This window comes from Homo sapiens, chromosome 1 (assembly GCF_000001405.40).
Source record: "Homo sapiens chromosome 1, GRCh38.p14 Primary Assembly".
NCBI lineage: Eukaryota > Metazoa > Chordata > Mammalia > Primates > Hominidae > Homo > Homo sapiens.
This window is the reverse complement of record NC_000001.11, coordinates 55,329,597-55,344,349: the sequence shown is the minus strand read 5'-3', so window position 1 is coordinate 55,344,349 and position 14,753 is coordinate 55,329,597. Positions and strand designations below refer to the sequence as shown.

Here is a 14,753-nt window from a genome sequence, read left to right as displayed (position 1 = left end):
TTCCAGGTGAATGGTGCAAGCTGTCAGTGGATCTATCATTCTGGGGTCTGGAGGACAGTGGCCCCCTTCTCACAGCTCCACTAGGTGGTGCCCCAGTAGGGACTCTGTGGTGGGGCTCTGACCCCACATTTTCCTTCTGCACTGCCCTAGCAGAGGTTCTCCATGAGGGTCCCACACCTGCAGCAAACTTTTGCCTGGGCATCCAGGCGTTTCCATACATCTTCTGAAATCTAGGCAGAGGTTCCCAAACCTCAGTTCTTGACTTCTGTGCACCCACAGGCTCAACATCACGTGGAAGCTGCCAAGGCTTGGGTCTTGCACCCTCTGAAGCCACAGCCCAACCTCTACCTTGGCCCCTTTCAGCCATAGCTGGAGCAGCTGGGACACAGGGCACCAAGTCCCTGTGCTGCACACGGCACAGGAACCCTGGGCCTGGCCCATGAAACCACTTTTTACTCCTGGGCCTGCAGGCTTGTGATGGGAGGGGCAGCCATGAAGTTCCCTGACATGGCCTGTAGACATTTCCCCGATGGTCTTGGGGATTAACATTAGGCTCCTTGCTACTTAGGCAAATTTCTGCAATAGGCTTGAGTTTCTCCCCAGAAAATGGGTTTTTCTTTTCTATTGCATAGTCAGGCTGCAAATTTTCCAAATTTTTATGCTCTGCTTCCCTTATAAAACTGAATGCCTTTAACAGCACCAAAGTCACATCTCAAATGCTTTGCTGCTTAGGAAATCCTTCTTCCAGATACCTTAAATCATCTCTCTCAAGTTCAAGTTTCCACAAATCTCTAGGGCAGGGGCAAAATGCCACCAATCTCTTTGCTAAAACATAACAATAGTCACCTTTGCTCCAGTTCCCAACAAGTTCCTCATCTCCATCTGAGACCACCTCAGCCTGGATTTTATTGTCCATATTGCTATCAGCATTTTGGGCAAAGCCATTCAACAAGTCTCTAGGAAGTTCCAAACTTTCCCACATTTTCCTGTCTTCTTCTGAGCCCTTCAAACTATCCCAATCTCTGCCTGTTACCCAGTTCCAAAGTTGATTCCACATTTTCAGGTATCTTTTCAGCAACGCCCCACTCTACTGGTACCAATTTACTGTATTAGTCCATTTTCATGCTGCTGATAAAGACATACCTGAGACTGGGAAGAAAAAGAGGTTTAATTGGACTTACAGTTCCACATGGCTGGGGAGGCCCCAGAATCACAGTGGGAGGCAAAAGGCACTTCTTACATGGTGGCAGCAAGAGAAAATGAGGAAGACGCAAAAGTTGAAACCCCTGATAAAACCATCAGATCTCATGAAACTTACTCACTACCATGAGAACAGTATGGGGGAAACCACCCCCATGATTCAAATTATCTCCCTCTGGGTCCCTCTCACAACATGTGGGAATTATAGGAGTCCAATTCAAGTTGAGATTTGGGTGGAGACACAGAGCCAAACCATATCACCTACCATTTATAAAAATTAATCCCCATTCAAAGAGTACTACCCACCCCCCCCCCCGCCAACAACACACACACACACACACACACACATAAACACACGCTGTTTGACACTGATGATTATGACCCACAAAGAAGTGTCTGGGATGGTGGAAGTCTCCTTCATAGCCAAATGTACCACTTCTATAATATAAGGAATATAAAATGCAAATGGTCCACAAAATAATACTGCAATTTACCAAAGATGCAGGATGTCATGAAGTCAAGGAAAGTAACAGGGAAGAACTGCATAAATCACAAGCAAAATCACCAATAAGTGATAATCTGGCAGAGTTAGACACATTTGGCAGATCACAGATGGCAGAATTAGACACATTAGCCATTGAAGAAAATCAAAAAGGATAATGGCATGATAGGTGCTTCAGAGGAAAATATTTCTGATATAAACAAAGCTAAAGGAAAAATTAATAAGACTTTTATTATATTTACAAAATTACTCTGTTGTTGACCACGCTGCAAAGGTCAAAGGTAAAGAATGCATTTTTGCTAGCATACAATGTTATCAGGATAACTACACTGAAGAAACAAACAATTGATTCATTCTTGGTTCATCATAAGCATTCACATATAATTGCAACGCAACTCAATTGTATTAAATAAACATGACAATTTTTTGTTCCATTTTCTAAATAATTTCCCACCAAATCTTGGCCTTTTTATGATTCTCTATGAAACCATTGTCCTCATTTTAAGTTTATTCATCTTCAGTAACACGTTTTGGGCATGAGGACGTCTTTTCCTGTTTTATATGGTCAGACAAAAAAATAACCAACTTCATTCATCATTGATGGATGAAAAGGAGCATGTCACTTTTGGAAAAGGAAAGGACCTATCAACAAAGGAAACACCATATACAAAAGCAGAAATTTATAAAAGTTTATTTGGTTTTAAAAGTGATTGTTAACTCTTGGGGTAGGCAGAGGCTCTTTGAGAATCTGGTGAGAGATATAAATACTATCTTCCAAAGAAACACATATAGGTGCAAGCACACAAAATTTTACCTACAGCTTCAGGGTGTTCATGAACATCCAAGGTCTAATCATGACCTTCAGATTGAGAACCACAGGTTAGGAGTCAGCCTGTATTCTGGTTTGACTATGGAAAAGACTGTGCTCATTCAAGATGTACAGAAAGTATCACATATTCATTCAAAAAGTATGTATTTCACACCACGCTGTGCCAGGCATTGTTCTAGGCTGTAGCTGACTGATTGCATTAGTGGCCCCAAAGAATAGATTTCCTATATCTACCCATGGCTTGGTAACTTTGCAGTCTCTTCCATTCTGGCTCTGGGCTTGGCCATGTCACTTACCCTGTCCAGTGAGACAGTAGCAAACTTGACACAAGTAGAAGCTTGAGAAAACACGTACACATTTCCACTTCCTCTCTTGGACACCTTGCTACCCTCCTGACCCTCACATACACACACCAGGCAGTCTGGGATAACTTATTGGGGGATGAGAAGCCACATGCAGCAAGTTGAGTCTTCCCATCACAGTTATCCTAAGCCAGCCAGCACCTAGCCAACCTTCCAACTGATGTGATACATGGTAGAGACATGAGCTAGCCCAGCCAAACTCAGTCGAGTCTGGCCCAGATTAACAGATCATGCTTATTTAGAGGTTCATCAGAAATCATCAATGATTGTTGTTTTAAGCCACTAAGTATTTGGGGATAGTTTGTGATACAGCAATAGCTCACTGACACATAAGCAATGTGGATACAGCAGTGAAGAAAACAGACAATACTCTTGTACTCGTGGAGCTTACATTCTAGCAAAGAGTAAAGGGAAATGAAGGTGGAGAAAGGTAAAGCAAGACCAATTTTTGAAGGCCAGAAAGGCCTTACAGAAGATCTTGGCCACATTTCAAGAGGTAATGAGTAGCAACTGAGAGTTTTTTAAACAGCAAAGTGATATAAGTAGATTTTTATTCTAAAAAGATATTTTGGTAGCTGTGGAGAGGAGCAAGAATTGCAATGCACTGACCAATTAGAAATGTGCTCTGATAGCACCAGTGAGAAAATAAGGAGGCCTAAACCCTAGAATTGGCAATGAAGATGGAGAGAAAAGGAGTAGCTTGAGAAATATTTAGGAGGTAATGTTAAAAGAAGTTGCCAGTCATTTTTATTTGAAAAATGAAGAGAAAAGCAGAGTCGCATATGACAACAAATTACTTCTTCATTTATTTAATGAATATTTACTGAGGGTCCTCTATATGTCAAGCATACTGCGCAGGTATTAGGGATTTATTGGTGAGCAAAACTGGCCAGGAACCCTGTCTTCTGAAGTGTGGTGGTGAAGATCATTGATCAAATAGACACTTAGATAAACACACACTTACAAATTAGGACAAGTGGCATGAAGGAGAATAATAAGAAAGTTCTAATTTACAACCGGGCAGGAGCAGTTAGAGAAAGTCTCTCTGAAGACATTAAATTTAAACGAAGGCCTAATGAATGAGAAGAAATTTACCAGACAAAAAGTCAGAGGACAAGTATATCAGACAAAAACAAACAAATAAAAAATCATCTTGTTTGAAGACCTTGGGGCAGGAAAGGCTTTTGAAGATGTAAATGAAAAAGTAAGAAAATGAATAAAAGGAAGAGTGGCACAATATGAATGAGAGAGAGTAGCAGAGACCAACTTAGGCAGGGCCTGTGGTCCATGATAAGAATCTAGAATCAAAACTCAAAGTGCAGGAAGAAGTGACAAAAGGCAGGAGCAGCAGATCTGGAAGCAAATGCTGAGCTCATTATGGGAGGGACTACTAGGTTAAGGTGCCTGGAGAAATGTATGTGGACATGCCCGGATGGCATTAGAAAGGGAAGTCTGAAGGTGGTCAGAGAGGTCTGACCCAAAGACAGTGGTTTGGCAATTATTATTTGGAGGACACAGCTAAAACCAGACTTACGTTTGCAATCCCCCAAAGAGAATATGTAGATTGGAAGAGAAACCCACAAGTGGAAACTCTTGAAAAATTGAGAAAGAGACTGTAGCCTTCCCAGATGACTCAGGCTGGAATATTGTTACCAGGTCTCCACGCAATTACAGGAGGAAATTGGGGATGGAAATGAGAAGTCCAAGAGGACGCTCTTATGGTAATGGAATATTTATTTATATTCCTCTCTATGTCAAAATGTTATTATTGTTAATGAACTTGACTTGTCACATGTTGTGAATTTGGTAATAAAATAAAAACTCTAACTTGATCTTTAAGAAAAAATTTCGGACTGGCCAAAATAGCCTTTTCTCCTTGTAAATTTTTTTTAAGTCTTGGTATTGGCCTCAGTGTAAGGCCAGCCACTGTTAAATAATTTCACATGGAGCTATACCCTCTCCCTACTTCAATGCTAACTAAGATTTCAAATTTGAAGCTGCAGAGTTTGACTAAGAAAAGAAATGAAATAAATGTCAGGTGGCCCAGATTCTAATTATTGTCCTCAAAACCATTGGTAGGTGTTGAGACCTGAGCTAAATCATGTCTATCTGTACCTCAGTTTTGTCTCCTATGAAATTAGAAAAATGGGCTTGATTATGCCTCAAATCTCTTACAGAGTTCTATTAAAAAGGCAGGCCAGTAAGCCACTCTCAATGAACTTCTCTCATATCCCAAACCTACACTTATGTCATCTCATTTGATGCATACAGCCTCCTATGAGTTAAGTATTATTGTTGCCAGTTTAGAGATGGGAAGACTAAAGGTCAAAAAAGTCAGTGTTCTGGATATGAACTGGCAGTTAAACTAAATAAAATGTTGAAGTAAAGAGATACACACAGCCCTCAAAACATTGTGGCATTATAACTCCATCACTGAGATTTGTAGGGTGCTGAGCAGAATGTAAGCACTCTGACATAAGGTCTCAGGCACAAGTACACATCTCTTCAGTAGAAGTGTGAAAGCAGACAAGGACTATATGTAAACAAACATGGCCATGTTCCAATAAAATCATAGACACTGAAAAAAAAAAGGCAGTGTGCTAGTCTGTTCTCACACTGTTGTGAAGAAATACCCAAGACTGAGTAATTTATAAAGGAAAGAGGTTTAATTGACTCACGGTTCCACATTGCTGGGGAGACCTCAGGAAACTCACAATCATGGTAGAAGGCAAATAAGAAGCAACACCATCTTCACAGGGTGGCAGGGGAAATGCCAGATGCTTATAAAACCATTAGATCTCATGAGACTCATTCACCATCACAAGAGCAGCATGGGGGAACCACCCCATGATCCAATTACCTCCATCTGGTCCCGCCCTTGACACGTGGGGATTATGGAGATTGAGATTCAAGATGAGATTTGGGTGAGGTCACAGCCAAACCATATCAGGCAGTGTTATAGTAGAAAGAATTTGGGCTTTTGTGTCAGATAAGCCTGGGTTTTCATAGGTTCTAATATTTACTGTGCCAGTTATCAGTGTATCGCCTCTCAGTGCCACATTCATTCTTCATTGCCCAGTTTTGTGAGGCTGGAGCTGGACCCTATGAACATTTCTCCTTCACCGGCTGGTATTATATTAAGCTTTGTCAGTAGAGGGCACTACAGGCAAACTACAAGGGGACTTTTCTTCCTGGTTCCACACGCTTGCCTTCTTGCTCCTTGTCAATAGCAACCAGCTTGTAAAGGACATCCAGTTATGCTCATAGCTTAGCACGTTTCACCGGCATCCCAGAGGGTAGCTTCCCAGCAAATTTCAGCAGCACTTCCATGAGTGGCTCCCCAGGAAGTCTTGTCACACTCCCAGAAGACAAATCCCTGGAGAGTTTTGTCAGCACCCCAGAGGCTGGTTTCCCACTGTGGCACTTCAGCAAACCTCTCCATCCTCCAGTGGGCTATAGCCACACCCATCCAATGAGGTCTGAATCCCAGCCTTGAGGAGAGGGTGTTATCTTCCAGATGTGTTCCTTCCTTGGGTACCCTGCCTTAGCCCTAGAGGTAGTACTGCTCCCTAAATCCTCTATTCCTGCATTATTTCAAGTAACCCTTACCCCTCAGTAGTTAATCTTCCTTGTTGCTAGTTAGCAGCTCTTTATATTAAACTTTCCCTACTCAAATGAGTGTGCATTTTCTATCTTCTGACTGGACCCTGACTGATACGCTTAGAGAAATTCACTGTAAGCTCTCTAAGCTTCAGCTCCTTCTGCAAGATGAAAATAATAATACCTCTCTTGCCAAATTACCAGAAAAAAATTAGAGCTGCTGTAATATATAGCACTTAGAATGGTGTTAGTGACAAGTATGAAACAGTGGAAGCTTTTTATGATTATTATTGTTATTAAATTATTCAAGTCACACAACTAGTAAATTTTGGAGATGGGATTGAATTGGAATTTAAATGACTCTAAAGATGACTTTATTGCCACAGTTAAATGTTAACACATCCATCTCCTTAAAAACATGAGTCCTTTGAAGGTAGCAAGAGTAGAGGACTGCTTGCCACACCCCTGCCTCTGCCACCATAGTGCTAGGCCCCTACACACAATGACCTCGGGCCATTGCTCACACTCCACAGAGGTGGTATTAAATCTGGCAGCTTCCACTCCAGGTTGCTCTGGGCCACAACTAAGGCCGGCTCTGTGACCTTGGACAAGGTGTGTCCCCTCTCTGAGATGTTTTGTAGAACAGAAATAGTAAGAGTGGCTATCTCACAGAGGTGGAGTAGCAGAGACAGTATGAAACATTAAGCTGCAGCCGCCCTCCACGAGACCCCTGAACTGAGCAGGGGCTAGGGCAGGAGTGAGAGCTCAGCCCCGGCACTCTGGCCTCTGGACAGCAGCTCGGGTTCAGATTTCTTAAGGAAAATGATTTACACCTAAACCCATTCCAAAAGTGTCTCTGGATAAATTGGCTCTTGGTCAAATTATAAAAAAGAAAAATAATAACTAATTTTTGAGCACTTTATCCCTTGCTAAGCATGTCACATGGAGTGACTTATTTATTCATCATCATAACCCTAGCCTACCCCTATTAATAATATGCACATAACACCATATATCTATAGAGTTTTTTTTTTGGTTAAAGCAAACTTTCACATCTTTAATTCCCTTTATCTTCACCATGAGTCTAGGTGAACATTTTTATTATCTCCAATTATAGCTGTGTAAACAAGCCCAGAGAAGGGAGGTGACTTGCTAGTTGCAAGGAGAATTAGTGACAGAACCAGAGAACCCAGGTCTCAATCCCAGGCACCAGTGCTTTTTCAACTACAGGACTCAGCTGCAGAGACAAACACGGAATAAAATCGAACAATATGGAAAACCTCAAGAACAAGAATTGCTGCCATGCCAGGCATGGTGGCTCACACCTGTAATCCCAGCACTTTGGGAGGCCGAGGTGGGCAGATCACCTGAGGTCAGGATTTTGAGACCAGCCTGGCCAACATGGTGAAACCCCATCTCTACTAAAAATACACAAATTAGCCGGGCATGGTGGCGCACGCCTGTAATCCCAGCTACTCAGGAGGCTGAGGCAGAAGAATTGGTTGAACCCTGGAGGCAGAAGTTGCAGTGAGCTGAGATTGCGCCATTGCACTCCAGCTCAGGCAACAGAGCAAGACTCTGTCTCAAAAAAAAAAAAAAAAAAAATCAACTACAGGACTTTTCTTCTGTTCTTGACCTCCCCACCCTCTTCCCACAGATTCCTGCTTCACCCCACCCTCCCTCCTGCCCCTTCTTCTGCCTCTGATGCCTGCTATAAACTTTCCCCACCTCCTGCTCACAGACTCTGTGTTCTCAATTATGGAATCTTGGTTTGAGGGTATGCTCTGCACCAGCTGGCTGCATAATCTTGGAGAATCACTTCTGCTCTCTGGCTCTTAGTAGCCTCGTCTGTGAACAAGGAGAGGGATGGTACTATGTAATTCCTAAGGGCCCTTCTAACAGCAAATAGCCTGAACAGAAAACGGCTGATAAACCCATTTATACTAAAGTGTGACTGATTGCTGAGCAGGCTTGCTCGGTCATCTCATCAAAGAGAAGTTGCATTAAACAGGGGATGGCTGAAGAGGGTATTATTTAGCCAAAGGAATGACTCTGTCATTATAGAATGAAAGATACCTGGGGCTACCTAGCTGCAGTGTTTTGGACAACTTAGGGTTGGGAGATTCATGAAACGTTTTAGGTCTATCATATAAGCATGTTTCAAGCCCCCACAGAGATCATGGCCCATCCATACTCAAACTCCCTGTAGGTTATAGCATAAAATCCCTTGCCTGCTCCAACCCCTTCTTCCAAATCTATCCATTACTGCTTGCCCTTGTGCTTCCCCTCAAGCCAAAAGGAGCCCCCATTATTGCTCAAACATGGCTCTTTCCAACTCTTCATCTCTGCTATATACCAACCTCCTCTGGAGTCAAATTCCCTTTCCCTCCCTCCACTGACAAATTCCAATCACTCAGGGGGACCCACTCATATACACCATTTTCCTGAACTCTCTTTCAACCTACTTTTCTAAGTGGACATTTCTCCCTCTCCTCCAACCCCTTGGAAGGCTCACCTTGCACCTCTGATGACTCCGATGGCATTAGCACATGTGATCACCGTCACTAGGGAGCAGGCCCCTCGAGGGCAGAGGCTGCTTGTCTTAAAGTTTGTACAGAAAGTACACCTTGTAGACTCTCAGTAAGTGCCAGATGAATTGGATTAAGGAACTAACTGCCAGTGAGTGTTTGGAAGAGGCAATATGAAGAGTCATGTGCCCCCAGAAGTAGTTTGGAGCCACCTCCCCCAGCCTCTTTAGGCCATTTAAAGGCCATGGAAATACACCACCAGCTGCCCTTCACGAGGCCCAGCCAAGGATGCCGATGTGACCGCCACGGCTGCTGCCCCTCTACACCCTCCACCCCATGTGCACTGAGGCACAGCTTCCCTGGACAAGCACCCAGCCAATGACAGGCACGGTGGGGTGCTGGTGCCCACCCACTCCTACCAGATGTGGGCCTCCAGCCGTGGGCTTCTTGGCTTGGGAACTATGACAGCAGCCTGGCCAAGACTACCCTGGGGTGTGCTGCAGTCTGAGACCTTCCTGCCCAACCCTCCTTGCTTACCAGGTAACAGATCTGCTTTCCCAGGTAACAGATCTGCATCAAGGCTGCCAGCTCACCCTGCCAACTCCTGCTGTCTCTCCTTTAACCTTCATAAGCATTCCCCGAATACATCTCTCGAACAAGTAACCTTTCTTGGCATGTGCTTCTCAGAGAACCTCAACTAACATTTCCTCTTTGCTGGAGATGAGTTCACACATGATCAGCAAATGAGACCCATGTCCTTCATTTCTCCCTGCCCAGGAGCCACTGGGAGGACTAGCATCTGGAGACTGGATCCCCAGATCCCTTGCTCTATTCTCTCAGACCTCTTCAGCTCTCTGCACCTCCTTCGTGCTGACGTTGGCCTGCTTGCCACTCTGGGCCACTCCACCCCACAAATTTGACCCTCCAGCTACCTCCCTCCCAGCCTCCAACACAACTCTACTTCCTGGCACTGACCTCATCTTCCTCCCACGACTCCTGCATCAGGCTGGGCTGTGCCTCCTCAGACCCAGCCCTAGGGCTCCTCCCACAAGTGGCCTGCTTGAGGGGCAGCCTCCACCACCCATACATCCTCCACATTGGTGGTGGGGTCTCTGGTGGGCACAGCTTCCATCAGCTTCCATCTCCTAAGGAAAGCCAGGGTGGCCCCATTGAGGCCCTATCTGAGGGACCTTCACAGAAATGCCCGCCCAAAACAATGACAATGACCAGAGTGGGAGACACCCGCATGTCTTATGCACCAAATCCAGGAGAGGCAGAGATGTGTCACAACTGGAGCAGGAACTAGGGAGCTCAGACCCAGAGGAAAGGATTCAGAATGAGCACACTGGGATCAAACAGGAGAGAATGGGTTCCCAAAAGATTACCTCGGGTGCAGCTAGGACTGCTGTGGGTCAGCTGAGTGTCTCGGGATGAGGCTAGCCTGCCTCCAAGGGCAGATGGAAGGGATAAGCCATCACTGTGCCCACCCAGGCCTTGGCCACCCTACTCAAACAGCCTGGGAGGGCATGCAGCTGCCCTGGGTTCCTCCAGCAAAGCCTGAGATGGGCCTTGCTCTGCCTTGTTTGCCCCGTTCACCACCCCCATTTCCTGTCTTCCCTTTGTTCCTTGCCACGAGTTTCTCTCTGACTCCTCCCAGATACTGCAGAGGGCTGGACATTGACCCCCACAACCCTGCCACCAGTCACATAATTGCAGCTGTGCCCCTTCCAGCTGATTATCACCCACCGCCATCCCACCAGACGACTCTGGATGGCATCACATCTATGCACTGAACCACTGCCCCTGGAGACCTCCATCCTGTCCACCCACACTGCCACTCCATCGTCCCAGCCAAGGCTTCCTCCTTTTCACTGGGCCAAGCCCCTGAAGCCCCTGTGAAGTTCAAGGTCAAGTCTGCGACCAGAGGCTAATGACTTTTGTCTTTGGACCTCAGGATCCCACCTTACATTGAGGAAGTAGGTCCTCTCCAGATCATCCCTCAGAGCCTGCCCAATCTGGTAATCTCATAAGAATTTGATCCCATAATCCCGTAAGCACTTGGTTCTCAGTATCTCTTGTGCAAACACTATCTGTTTTCCCTTCCTTGTTCTCTGGAAGGGGCCACTAGGCCAGGCCGCAGCCATCTCCTGGCATCCGTTGCTACCCAATCTCTTTGTGAAGGGACTTCCTGTGCAGGAATAAGGAGACCTTCCCACTCCCCAGCCCGCTCTGTTCCACATCCCAGCCACTGGTACAGTGACCTTCCCACTCAGATCCACAGAAGGGGAGACTAAATAAATCCTTCGCAGACCCCAACACACACTGACGGCCACACATCTGCTGCACCTCCACTGTTCACTCTCACATGGGGAAAACACACGGACTCCCTAACACACATCCTCACACTCGCTACCCAGCACTTCCAATCGCTTCCTGTCTTAGAAACGCTCTGAGTTTATCATCGCTCTACACATTTCTAACACGTACAAACTCTTACACAAGCCCTCCCAATCCTCCTGCTCACATTCCTTCTCACTCTCTCTCTCTCTCACACACACACACACACACACACACACACACACACACACAGAGGGATCACTCCTTTCTTCACAGGGAAGAGGCACTGAACTCGGGCTTTGACCCTAGCTTCTCTCCTGGCATCTCCCCGGGGTAAAAAGGTGCTCCGCTCAGGACCTGGCTGCCCAAAGCCCCTGTCTCTGCTCTCCCACACACCCAACCAGCCTTCAAAGCCTCTCCTTCTCATTGCAAAGGCCAAAGTGAGCTACAGACAAAATCATGAAGACAACAAATGATGTTTTCTAAGTACCGAATAATGCTCTCAGGTGATGGAGGAAGTGCGAATGGCTGTGAGCTCTTGGACTTGAGCAGGGCTGACTACAAGAGGCTCCAAAGGAGAAGGAGTGGGTGGAGAAGAAGCTGAGCCTGAAAAATGGCACTCACCCCCTCAGGCACAGGAAGGGGGCTGGGAGCATTTGTAAGTGCATCATTTCTGCACCCCACCGCAAAACATAGCTATCCTTCCATACCAAGGGGCCACTTATTTAGCCAGTTTCCTCATCCTAAAACAGTAACTAGCATTGATGAGTACTTATTCTGAGCCAGGGACTGTGATAAATGCTAGACATATTTTAACTCATTTAAATTTCCTAACAACCTTACAAGGTAAACATTATTATAATCACTGTTTTTACAGGTGAAAAACAAAACTGAGGGTTAAGAGAGTTTAAAGTAACTTGCCCAAGGTCACCCAGCAGGTAAGGAAGGTTATATACAATCTGTGTGACCCCCCAAGCCTGCCGGTGTTAGAAACACCAGCCTCCAGCACCTCCCTATCCTCACTTCTAAACTCAGACAGAACCAAATTCAAATCCTGGCCCCACCATTGACTGACTGTGACTCCAGGTAAGCTACTCAATCTCGTTAGCCTCCATTTCCACACTTGTGAAATGAGAATAAAAGGACCTGTTTGGCAGAGTTATTGTAAGGACTACCGAGGGTTCACCTAAAGCACTTAACATATTGCCTAGCCCATAGTAGGTCCTCAACAAATGTCTCATCTCTGTCTTCTTGTAAAATTATGGCAGTACCTTCAAAGACCAAAGCAAGCCTACGAGGTAAAAGCCGAAGCCCAGGATATCAGATTTGGAAAAGGCCAGGCGTGAAGCTTTTTCAAATGTAGTTTTTAGTATAAATAAAAAATAATGTTCTCCTTCCTACCACGGAGGTTAGCCATATGGAACTCATTTCCCTGAGAGGCGGTGCGGGCTGAAGCCATGAGCAGGTTCAACTCAAGCTGAGATTGTTTGATGGATGACCGAGCTAGAAGGGGCTATTACAGATGAGTAATAACACCTCCTGTTTGTCCTGCATTTTACAGTTTACAAAAGCTTGCCCACCCATTATCTCATCTGATCCTCACAGCCACCCTCAGAGGTGGGCAATGTGGTCAAGGACATCAAGAATGAGGTCATCTCCATTTGACAGATGATCCATTTGACAGATGAAGAAACAGAGGCCCAAAGAGACAGCATGCTGCACCCGTAGTGATGGTCGGGCCTCAAAGAAAACCAGGCCAGCTGACAGTGGCCCCAGGACCCTTTCCAGAAGGGCAGGGGGGACTTCCTGTTAATAATAGCAGTAGCTAATACTCATTTGCCAGCAGGGCCAGGACAAGGGCAAAATGAGAAAGACACCCAGAACACAAAAGTTTTTTGGTTTTTGGGTTTTGGTTTTTGGTTTTTTTTTTTTAGACGGAGTTTCTCTCTTGTTGCCCAGGCTGGAGGGAGTGCAGTGATGTGATCTTGGCTCCTTGCAACCTCCATCTCCTGGGTTCAATCGATTCTCCTGCCTCAGCCTCCCAGGTAGCTGGGGGTACAGGTGTGCACCACCACACCCAGCTAATTTTGTATTTTTAGTAAAGACGGGGTTTCACCATGTTGGCCAGACTTGAACTCCTGACCTCAGGTGATCCCCCCACCTCAGCCTCCCAAAGTGCTGGGATTACAGGCGTGAACTACTGCGCCCAGCCCAGAGCACAAAATTTAAGGAGGCAAGCAAGCACAGGGTGAGTGTCTCCATAGATTTTTGCACCCTAGGCAGCTTACCCTAGTCCCAGCCCTGCTTTCCAAGCTCTGTTCTAAACACTTTATACATCTTAGCTTACTTAATCCTCATAACAAACCATAAAGCAGATACCATATCATCACCTTCTACAGACATGGACAACAAAGACACTCTTTTGCAGACATGGGAAAGAGAGAGGTGACGTAGATTGCTTAAGGTCTTATAAGAAGAGTTCACACTCATGCACTCAACTATCCTACCTACCCTGCCACACTGCCTCTGACCATGGCTACAGTCTCTAGGGCTCACCAGCATGGCCCTTCCAAGGAAGATCAATGAGTAAAACTGCAGAAGAAAGGAACTGACATTCAATGTGTTCCTGAAATATATACAGTCAACTCGTGTTTGTTATTTGCAGTAGTTATCTTCTGTAAAGTTACTGTGAACACAGAATTTGTGAATGCTGAACCATCTTTCCTAGGGGAAGTACAGAGTTAGGTTCCTGCAACCTCCGGTTGTTGCATTGTCATCAACTAATCAATACATAACTTTGTTTTATGTATTTCTGTTTAAACACACCTTATTAAACAAATACTGTTGATGTATTTAACATTGAACTCACATCCAATAGCACTGCAGCTTATACACAAACAAAGCTTATGTAACACACATTCTGTCCAGAAGGCATATTATAGACTTCTTGCTGTTAGAAACACTAGACAGTACTTTAGTATTACTCTTGAGGCCATCATAAACAGCAACATGGCCAAGAAAAAAGCACAAAAATGCAAACAACATAGCACTAAACAGATCATGAAGCGGCAGGAAATTGCGTTGTTCAGCCTCAGATGGAAACATGCATCAAGTAACTCAAATTTATCACCACAATGTACATGTCCACAGATGGCTGCAGAAACACCACAAGCATTATTTGGGGGTTACAAATAAATTTTAGTAAGTAGGTAAATTTGCAAATAGGAAATCTATGAATAATGAGCCGTAGATATGTACACACACACAATCATTATACTCACTTTACAGAGAAGGACACAGAGGCTCAGAGAGGCCCACTGACCTGCTCACTGCTGTATAGCTCCTAAGTGGCAGGATTTGAACCGAGGGTCATTCCTCCCAGATTTCCCGCCTTC

At 45.1% G+C, this 14,753-nt stretch overlaps 3 annotated features.

Annotated features, from left to right (window-relative positions):
- Positions 6,101 to 6,190: an enhancer, noted in NCBI's record as "active region_1072". NCBI's record gives its function as "activates an Ori minimal core promoter by ATAC-STARR-seq in GM12878 lymphoblastoid cells {active_cell/tissue: GM12878}" and the evidence as "EXISTENCE:reporter gene assay evidence [ECO:0000049][PMID:35858748]".
- Positions 8,851 to 9,350: an enhancer, noted in NCBI's record as "H3K4me1 hESC enhancer chr1:55800673-55801172 (GRCh37/hg19 assembly coordinates)". NCBI's record gives its function as "activates a minimal SCP1, AML or CMV promoter by ChIP-STARR-seq in naive and primed H9 embryonic stem cells {active_cell/tissue: H9 hESC(naive and primed)}" and the evidence as "EXISTENCE:reporter gene assay evidence [ECO:0000049][PMID:30033119]".
- Positions 9,351 to 9,852: an enhancer, noted in NCBI's record as "H3K4me1 hESC enhancer chr1:55800171-55800672 (GRCh37/hg19 assembly coordinates)". NCBI's record gives its function as "activates a minimal SCP1, AML or CMV promoter by ChIP-STARR-seq in naive and primed H9 embryonic stem cells {active_cell/tissue: H9 hESC(naive and primed)}" and the evidence as "EXISTENCE:reporter gene assay evidence [ECO:0000049][PMID:30033119]".